The following is a 21,497-nucleotide window of genomic DNA, read 5'->3' on the forward strand; positions in this document are numbered from 1 at the left end:
TTTGCTAACAAAAGAGTGTTTTATTTGTATTTTTTAACCTACCTAATCTAGATGAGTCTGGCTTTCTTGCTAACAGTCTTTACTCTGTTGTCAAAGGGTATCTTCTTCACTCTGATCATATGACTCCCCTGTCTAGAATTTGTCAATGGTTCCCATAGTTTGAGTCCAAAGTTCTAAGTTCTTAGCTTCTTGGCACAATATAGCCTTTAATGTTGTGACTCCCACCTACCTCTCTCTAGGCTTATCTCCTGCTGTTCTAAGTCTGTCTGTAATCATCTAATTATCCAGTGTTTAGTGGAGATATTCTGTAACCCAATTTTTACTTTTTCCAGTTACCCTCTCCAATCATAGTACGTCAGACTTCCCAACTCATTGAATAGTAGATCCCATTACAAAATATGAGTTTATTTACATCTTTGATACTTTTGATTATTTAAAATATCTCCATTTTAGAAGTCCAAGGTCACTTATTTTAAATCTCTTTTACTTCCCTCCCCTAGGGCCCATTGTTTTTGTGGTTTAGGGAGCTTGATTTGCTCTTTAACTCCTCTTCTCACTCCCTCACCTTAGAGTGAAAAGTGCAAGCCTGCCTCTAGGACACTTCCTTTGCCTCCTGTTTCCTGGCTGTAGCCCCTTCCCTCCTGTGCTGGGGTAGGGAGGAGCAAGGCTTTTGTAATTCGTTGTTGGTAGTTGCTGCTTTTCTGGGTAACAATGACAGGCCATTAAGGCCTCTCTGTTGTTGAAATCCAAATGCTTGAGTCCTTCAGCAGGCCCTCCCATGGGCCCTCTAACTTGACAGTTCCAAGAAGTGACAGCTGGCTGCACCTTGGCCTCTTCCACCCACTTCTGTCAGTATACCACCAGCCTCCTGCTACTTGGGTCCCCTCACCCATCATTGTGTCCTGTTTGTCTGACATAGGACAGATGCCTCAAGTTTTCATTTGTCCATGAACAGCTCACACATTCTTATCATGCCAAATGTTTGGCTCAGAGGCTTTACCATGCTATCCATTACCCTTCTCCCATGCCCTGGCATATTTCTCCCAGTCTCTTGTTCTTGTGTTTGAGGAAGCATGGGTGGGAAAATCAAGTCCACAATCTATACATATGTCTAAGCAGGTGGTAAGATACTCATCTCTCTTTCTTGTCAGGCAACCCTAATGTCTACAAATGACCCTCTTGGAGCCCCTTTACAATGGACATTTCTTCTGTTAGAGGTGGGGACAATCCTTCCTTTCTTCTCCATGGGGAAAAGGAAGGAAAAACCTGTTCATATGAACACTACTCTCCCAACTTTTCTCTCACCACTCTGTTTTTCTTCTTGTCAACTCAACGCCTCACTGTCCTCATAGGCCCTGTTGGCTGATTCCAGGGCTCACTCAGGTAAACCTCGATCCAATATCATAGAACTCGGTTCAGTGAGCCTATGTGTCCCGAAAATGGTCACTCTGGTTCAAGATTTCCTTCTAATCACACTGCCTCCGTCTTCCCTTTTACAGTCGTCTTAGAAAGCTTACCCCCATGCTTTACCTTCTCAGTGACTATGTCTCAATTCTAGTACAATTTATTGCTTCTTTCAATGCATTAATGATATAATGAGTATTTCTATAAACATTAATCTTACTATGGAAATCTTTGACTTACTTGCCTTCCTTCCAAAAGACTACAAGCTCCTTAAAAGCAGGAACTATTTCTTAATGAACTTTGTATCTCTAGCATTTAATACAGAGATTACTGTACAGATTGTTAGAAATGCATGTGTGTTTAAAAAAGAAGTGGACCTGTAATCCTAGCACTTGGGGGGCTGAGGTGGGTGGATCACCTGAGGTCGAGAGTTCGAGATCAGCCTGACCAACATGGAGAAACCTTGCCCCTACTAAAAATACAAAATTTAACTGGGTGTGGTGGCGCATGCCTATAATCCCAGCTACCTGGGAGGCTGAGACAGGAGAATCGCTTGAACCCAGGAGGCAGAAGTTGCAGTAAGCTGAGATCGTACTATTGCACTGCCGCCTTGGCAACAAGAGTGAAACTCCGTCTCAAAAAAAAAAAAAAAAAAAAAAGTGGATAAAATAGTATTATATTTAATTATCCTGGCCAGGTGTGGTGGCTCACGCCTGTAATCCCAGCACTTTGGGAGGCCAAAGCGGGCGGATCACCTGAGGTCAGAAGTTTAAGACTAGCCTGGCCAACATGGCAAAACCCCGTCTCTACTAAAAAAAATACAAAAATTAGATAGGTGTGGTGGTGGGTGCCTGTAATCCTAGCTACTCAAGAGGCTGAGGCAGGGAGAATTGCTTGAACCCAGGAGGCGGAGGTAGCAGTGAGCTGAGATCGCGCCACTGCACTCCAGCCTGGGTGACAGAGCTAGACGCTGTCTCAAAAATAAATAAATAATTAAACAAATAAACAAATAAAATTATCATGCTAATAGCTTGAATTGCAGTTATATAATTAGATACAAATAAAATAAATTTCATGTTTTTTTAAAATCACAGAAAAGTGAAATTGATGTGCCACCTGTATGTTGCTGAGCAACAAGTATACAAAAAACTATCAATTTTATTATATCCTTATGGCTACTTTTAAAAAACCATTTGTAGTTAATCATAAAGTGTATTCATAAAATAAGGTAAGTAGTGTGGTAAATCAGAGCTAGCATAGTTTTTGAAATCCAAAACTCTAGCATCAAATAAGTCCCGCCACTTATTATCTGGATAACCAGTCCCCATACCTTTCTGAGCAGAGATTAATAATAATAATGATAATAACCTTACCTGGAAGAGAGCATTTCAAGGATTAAATAAGATAGTACATGTAAAGTCTTCAAAAACCTGAAAATGTTCCTATAGAGATTTTTAAACCAGAAACAAAGTGGTGTCCTTTAGGCCGGTTTTATGAGCAACATGGTCGTATCCATGTGTGTATATTAAATAAAAATTTTAAAAATCCAAATTATTATTTTACATTTCCAGTGGGCAGTCTTTCTTAAAGACTATTTGCATTAAATTATTAGGATTATCAGATTAAGTATGAGAAACTGAGTTGAGGGAATATAGAGGAGAGAATTAGACAAAGCTCTAGTGAATGTATCATGCTAGAAGAAATGCTTTAAATAGGAAAAACTTCACAGTACAGTGGAAAGTTGACAACTGAGTCAGAATAAGCCCAGTTATAATGCCGAGATAAGTCACATTTATTTTAAATATACCTAATATTAATTTGGAAGGGAATTAGCAGTCCAATATCCCATTTATTAATTTACCTTTACCTCTTTTTAACTGAAATTGTATTTAAGGACAGGCCATGTATATGTATAAATTTATGTGTATGTGGGTATATATATGCATGTGTGTGTATGTCTATATGTTTGTGTGTATGTATATAGATATAGATATATACAGAAAGCATATACCTCGAATTTACTAAAATGATACAATTCAAACAAGGTTTGTTTAAAAGATTATTTGTAGACTATTGATTACATAAAATATTCCAAGATGAATATTTTTTTTTTTAGGCTCTTAGGAAGTGGTCAAACAGGGAGAAAGACATATTTTGGTGAGATACTTAGATGTCTTTATCATGATTATTGACAATTTTGAAAAAAAATCACCATACTTACTGTCTTGTCACATAACTGAGAAACTTCTGTTTGAGCTGTGGTGACCATGAAGTTTTGCTCAGCAGAACCTAGTTGAAGAGATCAGGCTGATTTCCCTTGTCTAGACCTCAATGAGCCTGGGATAAAGAGTATAACAGGTTATACTGTTCTTAGAATTGGAAAGTGATGGTTGAGTACAAGTTTTAAAAACTATCTAATTCTCTCTTTTTGATAATCTGCACAAGGTATCATCTGTTCTTCCATCCTATTTTTTTTTTTTTAATTTTGTTTTTGATGTTGAAGAGAAAAAGAAGCCAGAATGTTTGAGCAATCCAAGCTACTTCCTCCTTCCTGGGTCAGTATCTGTCTCCTTTCCACTCTACCCTCTTCACTTCTAGCATTATTTAGGGCCACTAGATCCCTACCAGTGGTCTCAATTCTCTCTCTTTTCCCCAAACACCCATTCCCCTTCTATCTTGTAGTTTGGTCAGTGGTGATCCCCACATATTAGAAACTTCACTGCCATTCTTGACACCATCTTACCCTTCTTTCAGATTTAAATTAGTGCATACTTGTCCCGCTAAGCAGCTTCTGTTCTCCACTGACATCAGTCTTGGAATATGTCCCAACACTTCTGTTTGCTCTGTTAAAGAAGACCAAAGGATGAGTCATCTTAGAGAAGTGAGATATAGTACATAAAATTTTCTTGGACAGTGGGAAAAAAAGGCGGGATAGTCACACATCATCCAATAAAACTTATTTTTTAAAAACACTTGTGATGTATGTCTTTATCTTTCTCAGAATCAGGCATTTCCGCTTGCCCCCTTTGTTCTCTTACCATACCCTGTGAGAAGAAAACACCCATGTAATTGTTGCTACTTAGCCTGGATCCAGCTGTAGCCTGAAACAGCCGTGCCCAGCCAACGTGCAGACCCCGAGCACAAAGTCAACCTGCAGACCTGAAAGCTAGAAATAAATGTTTGCAGTGACAGGACACTAAGATCCTGGGTTATTTTGGCAGCAACTGACTCATGCAATAACCTATAAACTTAAAAATTGGTCTGAATATGAATATGCATTAGATTAAGTAAAGCAAGTAAAATTAGAACAAAGGGGAAGCAGACAGAAAAAGAAAGACATGACTTCTCAATGTTTTAGGCATTTTATATATTTTATCTCCTTTTATTCTCACCAACACTATGATATACTCATCTCCAATTTATAGATGAAAAAGCTAAAGGGTGTATACACAATCTTATCAGTAGCTGCCTCTGGAAAACATGTTAAGGTTACTATGTGGGGGAGTGCTACTGGACTTTCACTTCCTATTTTTTATGTGGTTTTTTGTAAGAATATGTTGATTTTAACATATATCTTTCTAAATTTTAATAATTGGAAATAAGGAAACTGAGGCTGTGTGGACTTGAGTAAGAAGCAAAATGGGGACCTAATGCTACACGCAAATCCGCATTAACTTGCGCACGTAAAATTCACTTCTCCTTTTGAGTCACGGCTATACATGGGGCAGACTGATGGGTTAGCAACTATTGATCACTTTCCTGTCCAACGATTGATCATTTTCCTGTCCCTAGCATCGGCTGGCCTATTTCCACCTATCCTTATCTCCATCCCTTCTTCTCCTCATAGAAAACCTTCCATTTTGCAACTAAAGGTGTCCTCCCCATCCCCATTCGTTGAGGTGAAGAACAACAATGCTCATACTTCACACATATTAGATTTTGTTAGAACTCTGGCCAGTGTGCTTTGAAATGCTAAATGCTCCAGCATCTGGGCTGCAGATGACCCTGCAAGAAGGTGCTGTCGGTACACTGGTAGCTTTCAAAGTTGAAATCACGTGAATTAGAGAGCTTTGTTCCAGTGGTTCATTTGCTATTAAGGACTTTGACCCTGTTTTTGTTAGCAGTTCTGCCATGGCATTTAAATTGCACATCTTGCTTGTTGATGTCTAAGAATAGAATTCGAGTGTTAGCAAAGCTGAGAATGTTTTCTCATTCCATTTCCCAAGAATATGTAGGGTGTGAAGATGATGAGCAGAATGTATTTTCCCATCATATCCTCCACTGGTAAACAAATCTGGAGAGTAAAACTGTTCTTTCAGGCTTTCATCTTCTAGCTTCAGAAAGAATTTCTGACATCTCTACCATTAGAAGAGCAAATATAGGCTTATCATAATATGTTAATTAAATCAGAAGGATCTGCAGCAGGAAAAAGCATCTCTGGAATATGTCACATTGTCCAACGTGAAATATTTGATTATTTCTTCCAACAGCAGAACTAGATCTTAAAACATTGTATATCAGGTGATAATATCCCATAAACTTTAAGTGACCAAAGTTACAGTGGCACTGATGAAGGCATAATTTATGTGCTCTTGCCATATAAGACCACAGAATATGAGAAAGCAAACTTACTGAAGTCTGTGATACTCAAAGTAGTACAATAAGTGGAAACTAGGACTTTTGGAATTTAAACAAGAAATATATCCCAGAGAAAGGCCTCTTGGCTGTCCAAAAAGGTTTTAGCAACCTTACAGGCTTTGGTGATTAATTATTTTAATATGATGGTGATTGCAATCTTGGCTTGTAAGGTGCGATAGAAGAACACTTCCAAATATTTATACAGAGTAAGCCAAAGTTTTTAGTAAAAAAAAAATTCATAACTTTCCACTAGGGAGTATGACTACATAGTCAAATTTATTTGTGACATCTTTTTTGTGCATATAGTCATTTAACAACAATCTCAACAAAGTACCAGATGACGAAAGAGTAGAATTCATATTTTATTTCGGAATTTAAGACAAAAATATATTGCCTCTTTTGCTTTCACAACATATAATAAATTTTCGTGATAAAAAAATAAAGTCTTAAGAAGTAAAATAGCACAATTGAATCTTCTCTTACAGTACTTTTTTCACTTTCTGACAGACTCGTGCAGAGGGGTTTTCTCCCTAAGTAGATCCAGTGTGTTGCTAAGTTCTGCTAAACTACAGAGGGATTGAGACTGAACAAGAATTACTATAAATCTCATTTGGTGCGACTTGTGTTAATAACCAAGTATGACATGTTGATAATAGAGTGAAGTGACCGACTGAGCATTTACCTCACATGCCAGCGTGTTGTTCACCTAAGGTCATAGTGATATTGACAAGGTGTTAAATATGAGTGTTACGTCAACAAAAGCAAAAATATGTAGTTGGATAAAAATCACAAACATTGCTCTTAATGTAATAATTTTGAAGTGTAATATGGAATTTGGGTCACATTTCTCTCAGCAGTTTCACAAGCCAAGAAGCACAGATGTGTAGAGTTTTAAAGATTTTTTAAAAACCCCAAATTTTCCAGTAACAGAAATTAAGAAATCTTCTTTGATCAGAGAGTGAAACAAGATCTTTTCTTTCTCTCTAAGAGGAGTACGTTGATTGCTAGATCAGAGAAAAGAAAGTTGAAAGTACATACTTTTGCCATGAACTGTCTAAGCCTTGTATTTTACAAGTATACAATACAAAAAATTTGTGTTACCTTTTTATTTCTTTATTTACAGTGGCCAAATAAATAACACCAGAACACTTGTACCTGTGTGTAGAGCTAATGTAGGTAGCTAATTTAATAATGTAACTGCCATAATTTCAATGACAAGAATGTATCAGCTCTCCTTTTACTTTTCAAACTAACATTCAAATGGTTGAAATGCCACTGCTAAGGAAATATGTGTATATTTAAATAATAAAATTTAATGAAATATTCTCCAAAGCCAGCATTTTTATAATATCTATTAATTTTAATATCTTTTGAAAGAAGATAAATTTAGAGGAAAGAATATGTGCAAGCGTATATGCAAAGTCTTCAATTAGTTGAGGGTATTTCACGTTGCGTTGGGGTCAGGTTGGTTGTGCACATACTACGTGAAATAGATCCAGGACCAGTACAGGTAGGCACAGTAAGGAGACAGATACTGGCACATTTTAAGAGAAGAAAGATCCTAAGGTTTCATTTTGAAGATGGAGCAGTCTGCTTCTCAATGTGAAATTTTCCATGAATGGAACCGTTAGAGCAGCTAGACAATCACTCAGCACAATTGTTGCAGCAACACCTACAGTTTTCCACTAATGGGTTTCTTTGGGGTAAAAGATGACGATTTGTCAAGGAATAGAAAGTTGGAGGCCCCAGAGAGACTCCAAAATTTAGGGAAAATACATCCCTGTAAAATTGAAGTCCCACTTCGAAGAAATACATTCAGTATTCATCCCTATATACTTTCTGTGGAAGTGATCCACAGTATTAATGATGTAGAAATGTCTGATTGATTACAGCATCTCCTAAAGGTTAAGAGTGGAAATCTCTTTAAAACATCGTTGTAGACTGGAACCCATATAAATTGTCATCTATCTGCAACATATTAAAATTAATATGCTCTGGCATTGCTGCAACTTTTGATAATCAATAAGCAAGACTGAATAAAAAAGCAGAATTAAGACAGATTTATTGAGGTTTATTTAATGCTATGTAAGGAAAGAGAGACTATATCAAACATTTCTATGTTTCATGTTTATTTAAGGGTAAAGCCATATCTTATTTCTGTTTAAGCTCAAGCATAGGAATGCAGATTGTACAAATTGTCCTCTGAGTAGGCAGATTTTAGAAAGGCATGCCCCCTCTGGGAAGATGAACTAAAAGAAGTTGCTCCACTTGGGGACTGCAGTTCTCCTCTAGGGTGGAGCTTGGTGAGCAGAGCACAAGCAGGATTTGAGGCTCTGCTTGTCTCTTATCCCAGTACCTTTGGGCATTATACAAATTGCACGTAAGTGAAGAAATAGCCTATGTTAAGTGAATTAATAAGCAAATTAATGAATAAGTAAAAACATGGGGCATTCTAATTGTTTTATAGTTTCTAGAAATATGTAATATTAGGAAAAAAGGTTTAGCCTGAAAAAATACTTCCCAGGAGACTAAAGCAGTTATTTTTCCCTGATTCAGTGAGCATCAGAAAACTTTCTGATTAATTCTTGGTTTCTAGCTATCCTGATTCTGGGAGTCCTGTAAAGCAATGATAAATATATTGATTGCTGTAGAGTTGTATTCTGTAAGATACAAAATGAGTGGCTTTTTCTCTTTCTTTATTGTGGGTTCAGAGGGCAATGTTTTATCTTTTTCTATTTTTCCAGATATAACTTTATTCCACCTTTCAACTTCAGAGCTCCAACTTCAGAGGACAGAACATTATGTGGAGGGAGAGTTAAGACTTGGTAGGAAAAGCGATGACATGTCCTCTGCTTCATTTCTGGGTTTCTTCCCAGGCTGATTCATAACATCCAAAATAAGCTTAAGTAACACAATAGTCTTGGACTCGGCACCATAAGCTGCTTAGGAGGTGTGACTAGATCTTCTCCTGAACACTGTATTGTCTTGTGCCTCATAGTATTCCATTAAATTCATTACATAAATGTAGAAAATAATTAAATCAATCATTTGAGAATTTGGGTAATGTCAATCAATCTCCCATAGGCTAAATACATATAAGTAGTTGAGAATGGTGATAGAATGTATAAAACTAGACACTGGTTCAAAAAGACTCTAACTAACAGGTGATTGCTGCTTTGTAAAATGCTACCTAAACACATCAGCTGATCAGTGCTGCATAACTACAAGCAAAGTTTACTTTATTCGGTAGTCTTGACATTAAAAAAAAAAATGTAGGAGGAATTTTGGAAAAGGCAGTCAAGGGCATCTAAGTGAACAACACAAATGACACAGAGACCATGTGCTAAAGTTAAGGCACATTAATCAAAATCATAACATATTAGATTCCTAATGTCTCAGTGTCCAACAGTGGAAGGACCTAGTAAAAGTTAGGAAGTATAATTGTGGCAAGTTTAACAGTCTAAAAATGAAGTGAGATATAGTATAGTTATTTCTTTTTTGAAGTCAGGCATAATAACCCAAAAGGCATCAGGGCCATTTAATATATAAGCAACGTGCCTGGAATACCTCAATGACCCCTTGGAGGCATTCCTACCTTACTCTAGAGAATTCTACCATTATTTTGATGATAATGATGATGCATGAAAATCTTTCATTCTGTTCACTTTTTTTCAGAAAAGCAAAAAATTTGTAATTTCTGAAAAATGGTTAAAACATAAAGTAAATAAATATTTTTTATATTAGAGCAATGTTTTCTTACTATAAAAAGAGTGTGTGTGTGGTTCAGTAACTAACTGCAAAAATCATTTCATTATGGCTTGGCATCCCCGGGATACAGTGATGAAAGAAATAATAAATAAGCCACTATGTGATGAATACTTGTCCAAATGAAAATGCCTCTGATAATACCCTTTTAGAGGACAGGAATGTTATTAAGCTAGTGAGAACATCTAGTCCAGTTCCAGCTAGGTGGGTCAGGGCCCATTCTGGTAGGCTGATGTCTGTGCCATACCAGTTGTTAAACGTACTGAATATCATTCCTCCAGCAGAACCTGACACCTCCTATTCAACATCCCTTCTGCAGCCGGTCCCCATTTCTGTACTGGCAATACCTCCATCCTAGTCTTAGCTCAGACTTCTCAACAGCACTCCGTGCTTGGCCAGAGTTAACAAAGACACAAATAACACACTGTGTCATCTTGTAGTAAACAGAGAGGCTTTCCATTCTACCATGTTACAGCTGTGGAATCTTGGGTGGCTAATGAGCTTCACTTTCCCTGAGCTCCCTCACTTTTTAAACAGCTTTACTGAGACGTAACTCAAATATGTATTAATCAGGATTCTAGAAAGAGAACCGACAGGATATGTGTGTGTATATGTGTCTGTGTATATGTGTATATACATATATGATATTTATATATATATATGTTATATATATATAACATATATAAATAGAGGTTTATTTTAAGGAATTGCTCATGTGATTGTGGAGGCCTGGGAAGTCCAAAATCTTCAGGGTAGGCTGGCAGGCTAGGGATACAGGGAAGAATTATATAGTTCACCTCCAAAGGCAGTCTGCTGGCAGAATTTCTTCTTGCTTGCGGGGGTCAGTCTGTTATTAAGGTCTTCAACTAATTGGATGAGGCTTGCTCACATTATGGGGGGAGTATTATGTCTGATTTACTCAAAGCCTACTGATTTAAATGTTAATGTAATCTAAAAATACCTTCACATCTAAAATAAATTTTCACCGAATATCTGAGTAGCATGACCTAGCCAAGATGACACATAAAATTAACCATGATACCATGCAATCACTCATTTAAATTGTATAATTTGATGACTTTTAGTATATTCACAGATACATGCAACTATCACTTCAGTTAATCACAGAACATTTTTATCACCCTCATAAAGAAACCCTGTACCCTTTATATATCATCTGCCTGTCTCCTCGTTTGCTCCAACCACAAGCAAACACTAATGTACTTTTTGTCTCTGTAGATTTGCCCATTCTGGACATTTCATATGAATGGAATCATGTAATATGTGGTCTTTTATGACTGATTTCTTTCACTTAGCATAATATTTTCAAGGTTCATCTGTGTTGCAGTGTGTATCAACACTTCATTTCTTTTTAGGGTTTAATAATATTTCATTTTTTTCTATACATCTGTTGATGGACATTTGGGTTGCTTCAATTTTTTGGCTCATATAAACAATGCTGCTATAAACATGTGCAAGTGTGTGTGTGTGTGTGTGTGTGTGTGTGTGTGTGTGTGTGTGTGTATGTACATATGTTTTCATTTCTCTTGGGAATATACCTAGGAGTAGAATTGCTGAGTCATTTGCTAACTCTAGTTTAATCATTCAAGGAATTTTCAGGCTATTTTCCAAAACATTTTACACTATTTTGCATTCCCACTAGCAGTGTGAAGGTTTTCAATTCCTTCATGTCCTAACATTTATTATCTAAATTTTTTATTCTAGCCATTATAGTGGTTGTAAGTGGTATCTGGTATCTGTCACTTTACAACTGTGATTTTGATTTGCATTTGCCTGATGACCAATGATGGCAAAAGCTAGCATCTTTTCATGTGGTTATTGATCATTGTTATATCTTCCTTAGAGAAATGTCTATTTAGATCCTTTGCTCATTTTTTAGTTATTTGTCTTTTTATTATTGAGTTATAAAAGTCCTTTATATATTCTGAATACAAATCCCTTGTCAAATACATAATTTGCAAAATATTTCCTGTCATTCTGTGGGTTGCCTTTTCACTTTCTTGATGGTGTCCTTTGAAGCACAAAAGTTTTACATTTTGATAAAGTCAAAATTATCTATGTTTTTTCTTTGTTGCTCATATCATATCTAAGAATCCTTTGCCAAATCCAAGGTCATGAAGATTTACTCCTATGTTTTCTTCTAAGAGTTTTATAGTTTTAAGTCTTATATCTAGGTTTATAACAAATTTTAAGTTAATTTTTATAGATGATATTAGGTAAGGACCCAAGTTTATTATTTTGCATGTGGCTATTCAGTTGTTCCTAGCACCATTTGTTGAAAAGACTATTCTTTTCCCATTCAATGGTCTTGGAACCCTTGTCAAAATCTATTGACTAATGACACATGATTTTATTTCTGGACTCTCAATTATATTCCATTAAACTATACATCTATTCTTGTATTAGTGTCACACAGTCTAGATTTCTGTTGCTTTATAGTAATTTTGTAATACTCAAGTGTGAAGTTTCCTACTTTTCTCCTCTTTTTTCAGGTTTGTTTTAGCTATTCTGTGTCCTCTGCAATTCCATATGAACTTTAGAATTAGCTTGTCAGTTTCTGCAAAGAAGTCTGGTGAGATTCTGACAAGAATTGCATTAGATCTGTAGATTAATTTGAGAAATATTGCCATCTTAACAGTATTAAGCCTTCTAATTCATAATCATGGGTTTTTCCCACTTATTTAGAGCTTCTTAAATTTTCAACAATGTTTTATTATTTTTAGAGTATACGATTTGCATTTATTGTATTTAATTTAGTCTAAGCATTTATTCTTTATGATGTTACTGTAAATGAAATTTTCTTAATTTCATTTTCAGATTGTTACAAATGAAGTCAATTCCTTTGGGAAGAGACTAGTAGCTATCTGCTTTGTGGCCTACCTCTTGCTTGGGCAAAACTTCTGGTCAAGGGCTCTAGAGCAGGAGGTGAGGACAATGGCACAATTAATTCTCTCTGGCTGACACCCTCTCTTTACAAGTTGAGTACTACGTGGAGGTGGCAGGCAGGCAGTAGCCTTTCTTCTCAGCTTGCTTCTTCTGTCATGGAACCACAACCTTATGAACTAGAGCGAGGTGATAGTGTCCCAGTGTTCCCATTGGCACTGCACTCAAGGTTAGGACCTCCATTACATGAGTGGGAGCTGGGCATTAGAAGACAACCCTCACCTCATAACAACACTCACCAGGAACTTAGCCTCAGCAACAGGTAGCTGGGGGCAAGATGAGAAAAGCTGACATCCTACTCCTCCCTGGAAGAAGGCCCTGTGCTCTTCGCTGCACCAGATTGAAGCGGAGTTTTTGGCTTGCTGAGCTGGGAGGAAGGAGAGAGGGAGTGGTCTTGGTTGAAATGCACCTGACTCCCACTTTTTTACAGGATTTTGTAGATTTTCTTAGATAGATGTTTATTCAGTTGTTGTATTCTTTTAGGACAATTTGCAGAGATTTCAAATGATTGAGTTTTTATAACTTTCACTAATTTCACAGGGGACCAGTTCTGCTAAGCTGTTCAAGCTGTCACAGTACTGTATGATAAGTATTTTAAAATTTTCTCGTTTTAAAATTAGGGTATATATTTTCCACTTCAAAAGATTATTGTGAGACTGAAATTAGTGTATGCAAAGTGCTAATAACAAATGCCTGCCACAGAGTAAGGTATTAATTACTGTTTCCTATTAAGGATTATTACTATTGTTGTCTTATTGATTATCATTATGATTCACTATCCACAGTGTAGTGGTAGGTTAAAAGCACAGGACCTCAATAAAGGATGTTAGGGATGTTATTTGTTTTGTTAAAATTTATTGTATTTTTTATAAAATGGAATGAGCACCCAAGAACCAACCTTCCTCTTTACTCTTGCCCCAAATAAAAACTAGCGACAATGACCTACATATATTTCTTTGGTTTTTCTCATCAACTCATTCCCTTTATCCCCAAAGGCAAGTGATCATTATCTTTAATCCAACTCATATTGGCTGACAAAACATTTCGAATTTTATATATAAAGTTTTATCGAAGTTTCTTTTGAAGATTTAGCCCAGGGGTTGCAAACTTGTGGTCCTTGGCCCTTATAAATCTATAAGTGATAATAATAAATATTTTGGAGCATTTACTATGTTCCAGGCACAATTCTTTGTTTATTAATTAATTTACTTATCATAATACCCTGTGAAGTAGGTAAGCCTGCAAAGCCTACATTTTTAACCTCACTGCTATTCTATTTATAAAAGATTGTATGCCTATGCCTATATTTACATATATGCATAGTGAGATTTTTCCCAACATGTGAATGGAAGTTTCCTCTGGGTAGTGGCATTTTCATAATTTTTACTTTCTCCTATCTGCATTTTGAATTTTCTGAATTTTGTTTTTTTGCAAAGAGCATGTATCATAATTAGAAAGAGTAAAACAAAAATTCTGCTGCAACTTTGCAGGCAAGAGCAAAGCTGAGTTAAGCTCTGTGATAAGCGACGCCTAGTGACGAGGGTAATTAACTTGAATCTTTGTATTACACTATTTTGAACTTTGCTCTGACTTCAATAGCATGTTTTATTATGTAAAAATTAGAAATCAATCAAAATATGTTCCATTAATATTATTAATTGTGTTTTGTGCCAAATGTGTTGGGGAGAATTCTGAGCTATGCACTTGTTTCTAGCTTTTTTTTCAAGCCCGACCAAAGCCTATTTTCTGAGTTCATAAGCACCTACAACAGTTCACCTTGAGACTGATAACAGTTCATCTTGAGATTGACTAATGTTCAAACTTAATTTCTGAAAGGAAGCATTCAGCCTGCTTGGGGGTTTCCTTGCTTTCGATGTGACATCAAACACCACAATCTTCCTAAATAGTTGAAGAAGGTGAGCTCTCCGAGACTCCATCTCAAAAAAAAAAAAAAAAGCAAGCTCTCTAGTACTTGCTTTTATCCTCTTCAAAGACCAAAAGGCTGAGTTTTATTAAACAAGAAAATACATAGAAAAAAATCATTCGTGTCTTTTGAACAGACTTCACAGAATATGCAGCTGATATACATATATTTTTTTTCTGGTTACACAAAAGTAACTAAGGCACAGTTTTGCTATAGGAGAATGAGATAAAATTGTACCTGATTCAAGTAATTTCCAAATTAAGATAAAATAAAACATCTCTTCAATTGTATAATAGCTGAGCCAAAGCTATTTAAAAATGTGATGACAATTTTTAATACTAACACCTCAATGAGTGTTTTAAATACTTGTAAGGTTTCTTCATTTATCATTCTCTCTTTTATTGGCTGATCTTTTTGCTAATGGGAAAAAAGAACTTGAACATATTTAACTTATGCTAATGTATATGCCTGTGATCCCAGCCCAAATTTGAAGGTTAAGTTGAGTAAGTGGTCATATATTATTAGAATACTACATCCAAGGAAAACTTTTAATTAAGCCTCCACTGAAATGCCAATTAATTTACCTATCAAATGCTGTTTTAAATTTGTGAGTGTCGAGGAGTCTGAAATACAAAGTAAGATGTACATCCTGAAATAATGTACAAGCAATCAGACTTTGGCAAAGAATATTATCAACATGACCCAGATGCATGAAATAGTGCTAATGACTTGCTAAAGATTTTAATCCAACAGTAAAAAAATGCATTTCTAAGGAAAAAAACCCTAAACTCTGCTAAGGTATTTTGCTTGCATAGTTCAAAACTGATAGTCCAACTTTTAAATAAACTTTTTCCCCAAACTTATTGCTAATTGAATTATCTAAATCCACAGAGTTAGTAAAGTTGTAGAACTGGGATTTCAATTGAAGGCTGTTTATAGGAGTAAAACTGTTGAAAACATCCTAAATGTTGAATACTAAGGGCTTGGCTAAATAATAAAAGGGAAAATAATGCAATGAAATATTATCCAGCTATTAAAGGCATTCTACTAACATGGAACTAGTGAGATATATATATATATATATATATATATATATATATATATACACACTATATATATATATATACACTATATATATATATACACTATATATATATACACACTATATATATATAGTGTGTATATATATACACACACACACAATAAAATAGGTAAAAGGGCATATTTCAATGCTGTAACAGCAACTTTTAGGGAGATGATATGTATCTTTTATTGTCTTCATTCCTCTTTTAAGTATTTTTTTAACCACAATTATATTAATTTTCTAGGACTTCCATAACAAAGTACCACAGTATGGGTGGCTTAAACAACAGAAATTTATTTTTTCATAATTCTAGAGTCTGGAAGTCCAAGATCAAGATATTAGCAAGGTTGGTTTCTTCTGAGGCCTCTTTCCTTGGCTTATGGATGGCTGTCTTTTCCCCATTGTCTTCACATGTCCTGCTGTCTGTATGCATCTGTGCCCAAATTTTCTCTTCATATAAGGATATTAGTCACATTACATTAGAGCCCATTCAAATGACCTAATTTTACCTTATTTCCTCTTAAAGACCTTATCTCCAAATACAGTCACATTCTGAGATACTGAAAGTTAGGACTTTAACATGTGGGTCTGTATAAGGGGGCACAAAATTCAGCCTCAATAACAACAATGTTCTATATTCCTTTTGCAAAGAGAAATACAAGAACTTCATTTCAATAAGATAAAAGGAATAAAAACAGCCCTTTCTCTCATTATTCCTACACAAAATTAATTAATTGTTCTTTTTGTTGGTGAATCAATCTTTTTGGGCTTTGGTTATTAGGAGTCTGTCCTTCCAAATTCTGATCAGTTTTATCTAACCTTTGAAGCTTTGGCCTAGACTTTATGTGGTGATGACATCATCAAGATACGCAACTGCAGGCATTTCCTAAGGCGGCTTGCTCAATATTTTTGGTTAGTTTTGGAGCTGTAACAGCTTCCTTAGCCAACAGACCCCTCATTTATGTTTTCTTAACAGATACAAAGATTTTAAATTTAATGTTAGAGAAAGCAACACTTCCAATCTGACACGTACAAGGAAACTACAGTAATTTCTTCCAGACCACAGCAAGTAAAAGGAAAAATGAATTCAAGGAAAGTTTTTCTGAAGCCAATCAAGACACGTTCCTTTACTTTGCCTGAATTTTCTAAACACTGTGTTATATAGACACCACTAACAGTGGAACCTTGAGAAAAAGATGGGAGAGTCTTATAATCATAGAACTCTGGAAACTTTCTGACCATAAATCTCCCCTTGGGAAGATATTGCCTAGTTTTTATTTAGTTTAAAAAAGTGTAGTAGTGACCAAGGAAGGGGCATTTTAAAAGGAAGAGCCTAAAGAAGTAGCAATGAAGGCAGAGAAAAATGAAGTGGGATAATATCTACTGAATTCACGAATGAAGTGGGAACCCCAAAAGGAGAGTTCAGATTTACTTACTATAACTGAAGACCCATGGACTACATTTATTTGCCTATTTTCTAATGTATGTTTGAAATAAAGGTCTAACATAAAACACCAAAGCATATGTTTTACATAAATTCACAAAATTAATTTTTATTATACATCTTTTCAAAAGAGTGCAGTTGGTTTGGGCAAAATAAATGGGAAAATATTTTTATAACACTCCACCAAAATCTTTTGTGTCTCCTCTTTTAATAACACATGCTAAGTCAAGATATTTCCAAGTCAGTTTTTCAGGGGACTTAACTTGCCTAATTATGAATAAAGAGATTTTGGGGGGGTTGGAAAAACTGAATATGCCAAACTTAATCATGGTTTCTTATACTAATTAGCAACTGGCTTTACATCCATCCAGATATGTTTATAATTTATAATATCTACTGAATTCAAACAAACTTGAGACATGTAAGACATATTTGACAACTTAAAAAAACTCATTAAAGTATGAATTCAATAATAAAAGTTATCAATCTAGAAAGTCAAGAATTGAATCTTAAAATTATCTCGAATACAGATTTTCCTGAAGAGGAAAATATCCACATTTGGCAAAATAGTTGAATATGAACATGAAAAGAAAGCAAATATGTCTAAACAATAATTCTAATATCAACTTCTCTTTTAATATTTCAAGTGCTGCAGATCTTTTTTATTGTAAATAAACTTTTAAAAGCAAATCTCTTATAATCTATTTTTCTTCCACTTATATACAATGTAAGCATTTTGCTCATTGCTCTGTAGCCCTGCTCTCATCACTATATTCCTCTATCTCTTTTAATACATTCAATTGTTTTAATGGCTGGAAAAAAGAAAAGGAACAATGGTTGTCTCTACTCTGGACTCCCCAGTGCCTAACAAAGTATTTGTCATCCAAAACAGAACACCATTCTTGGTAGTACATTTTATTTGAAAAACAAGTACCCTTCCTCAAAGCCACATTCACAAAGATGTTAGTGGGTGGCAACATAGATTCTTTTCTAACTTAAAAAGGACCTGGATAACTCTGGTACTTCTGATGTCTCAGAAATATTACTTGGCACAAATTATGATAAGGAACAAATCACTGAAGTGTAATTGCAGCCTCATGATGAACCCAGTTACCTATTTAGACTACACTTTGTAGGATTTAGAAACCACCTTTAAAAAAAAAAACTGAGAAATTTGCAAATGAATAAGAAAGTAGGCCCCCTGGCAGGATCAAAATGCTTTTTCACATCTGGTATGAAATTCTTTCTATGGCTGTGGCTAGTTATTAAAGTACAATAGAATCCTAATTTATGACATATTTCTGTACCATTATAAGATACTTCCAGAATGTGCTGTGGTGGTTGAAATGAAAGCAGCTGAATTAGGCAACAGGGTGGCCTTAAGAATTAGGAAAATAAAATTGTTTTAAAAAATGGGCTGGAGAAAATGTGTCTTGTCCAGAAGCTGTGTTGCATTTGAAAATAGTGTTAGAAGAAGTCAGGAAACCTGAGCAAGTGAGAGTCTGAATAAGAAAACAGGATTTGAATTCTTCTGGAAGGAAAATTATTACATTAAGCTCTATCTCTTATTCCTTGTAAGGACAGGCAATACGAGCAGTTTTAAGTCAAGGATAAAAATAAGAAATCTTTCCTTTTCCTTTAAGTTTCTGTTATACCAGTGTCTAGAACATTTCTGAGTATTCAACAGAGGCACAGAATCTTACTGGGGAAGGATTTCATAATATAAAATGTGCACGAAGACAGCAAATCTGTGTTCTGATTTACTCTTAGGCACCCATATCTTTCATGATTCATATATTTGTGGCTTCCTGGTGTGCATGCATACATTTAGGCAAGGAAATCAGAATCCATTTCACATACCATATTCATCTTTTTTAATGGATCTAAGTAGAATGGAAGCCCCAAAAGAGCTGGAATTTTGTCTAGTTTGTTTTTTTGCTGTTTACCCAGCATTTAAGACAGTGCCTGACACTGACTAGCTACTAGATATTCCTTGAGGAAACACATACAGTGAGAGCATAAATCTTATGTTAAATATACATTGAATGTTTCTAAAGTTCATTAACCAATTATGATCATGCACTCACTCTACCCACTGCACAGATCATTTTAACTGGTCTGTACCTGTAAATGGTTTAAAATCTGGTGGAGAAAAACTACATACATACCATGATCCAATAACAACAAATATTTGCCACAATTTTGCAATATGCTGCAATGGGATGAATTGTCTTGTCTACAGAATGAAAACATGCTACTGGAGTGTTCAAAAAGCCAAGTGAGATGAAAATGCCAAAAAAATTAGGGTCGTCAACAGAACAAATACTACAGAAAGGTAAAAGAAGGTGAGGTGGAGAAGATGCCTTGGGTTTAGCTTTACAAAGCTTCAGTTGGGAACTCAGTGGGAGGCCTTAGGTTATATGTAGTGACTAAAAGCCTTTCCTCTGGATTCAAACTGTTTAAGTTCAAATCCCAGGTGTGCCACTCTGTAACTCTGCCCTCTCTGTGCTTCAGTTTCTAACTAACAAGGGTACTTGTGAGAATTAAATCAGCTAAAATATTTGTAATATGTTTAAAACAGTGACTGCCACACAGTGTATTCTATTGCATGCTAGAAATGTTATTGTTATCAAAACTGTGTAGAAAGTTCCCAGATCTAAGGAGCTTTGAAAGGAGTAGATAGTGAAGCTTTTCTATTCTAACTCTACCAGTGAAAGAACCACTGGTATGCTGCTCCTTAAGTTTCGCTATGCAAATCTAAGGGAAGCAATGTATGTAAAACTTCCTCATCACAACGTCCTTCTGTTAAGCTGCTTTTGGCTTGATTCCCAATGATGTACACCTTCAGGTAGTCACCACCGTGTGGAATTCTTTCCCCAAAATGTTGGCCGAACCTACTGATTTGCTTTTTTCTTTTTTTAAAGATCTTAATTTTTTTAGAGCAGTTTTAAATTCACAGCAAAATTGAGAGGAAGGTGCAGAGATTTTCCATATCCTCCTCCCCCCAGATAAGTGTAGTCTCCCCCATTATCAACATCCCCCACCAGAGTGGGCCATTTGTTACATTTAATGAACCTACACTGACATATCTTTAGCACCCAAAGCCCAGAGCTTACATTAGGGTTCGCTCTTGATGCTGTTTATTATGTGGGTTTGGACAAATGTATAGTGACGTGTATCTACCATAAGAGTGTCATGCAGAGTAATTTCACTGCCCTAAAAATCCTGTTTTCTGCCTAGTTATCTCTTCCTCCCCCTAAATCCTGACAGCCACTAACCTTTATACTATCTCCGTATTTCTGCTTCTTTCAGAAAGTCATGTAGTTGGAATTATACACTATTTAGCCTATTCAGATTGGGTTCTTTCACGTAGTAGTATGCAATTAAGGTTCTTGCATGTCTTTAAATGGCCTGATTCTTTCTTACTTTTTAGGACTGAATAATATTTCCTTCTCTGAATTTTCCACAGTTTATTTATTCATTCAGTTACTAAAGGAAGTCTTGGTTGCTCCCAAGTTTTGGCAATCATGAATAAAGCTGCTCTAAACACTCATGTGCAGGTTTTCCTATGAATATAAATTTTCTGCTCCTTTGGGTAAATGTCAAGAAGCGCACCTGCTTGATTGTATAATGAGATTATGTTTAGCTTTGTAAGAAACTGCCAAATTGTCTTCCAAAATAGCTGCATCATTTTGCATTTCTACTGGGAATTAGTTTCCTATAATACCTGTTGCTCCATTTCCTGTTGCTCAGCATCCTCACCAGCATTTGATGTTGTCAGCATTCTAGATTTTAACCACTCTAACTGGTATGTAATAATATATTACTAATGTTTTAATTTTCATTCTCCTGCTGACGTATGATGTGGAGCATCTTTTCCTATGCTTATTTTTCACATGTATATCTTCTTTGGCGAGGTGTCTATTTAGATATTTTGCCCACTTTTTAACTAGGGACTTTCTTTCTATTGTTGAGTTTTAATAGTTCTTTGTATATTCCAGGTACAGTCCCTTATCAGGTATGTCTTTTGCAAATATTTTCTCCCAGTCTGTGGCATGTCTTTTCATTTTCTTGACAGTGTCTCTTGCAGAGCATAAATATTTTAATAAATTCCAGTTTATCAATTCCTTCTTTCATAGATTATGCCTTTGGTGTTGTAAGTTATTGCCAAGTGCAAGGTCAGCTAGATTTTCGACATTATCTTCTAGGAGTTGTATATTTTTCATTTTACATTTACGTCTGTGATCTATTTTGACTTGATTTTTTTTTAAGCA

At 35.6% G+C, this 21,497-nt stretch overlaps 1 annotated feature.

Moving 5' to 3' along the window:
• Window positions 304–868: an enhancer, noted in NCBI's record as "OCT4-NANOG-H3K4me1 hESC enhancer chr12:20417295-20417859 (GRCh37/hg19 assembly coordinates)". NCBI's record gives its function as "activates a minimal SCP1, AML or CMV promoter by ChIP-STARR-seq in naive and primed H9 embryonic stem cells {active_cell/tissue: H9 hESC(naive and primed)}" and the evidence as "EXISTENCE:reporter gene assay evidence [ECO:0000049][PMID:30033119]".

The sequence above is a fragment of the Homo sapiens genome, chromosome 12 (genome assembly GCF_000001405.40).
Source record: "Homo sapiens chromosome 12, GRCh38.p14 Primary Assembly".
NCBI lineage: Eukaryota > Metazoa > Chordata > Mammalia > Primates > Hominidae > Homo > Homo sapiens.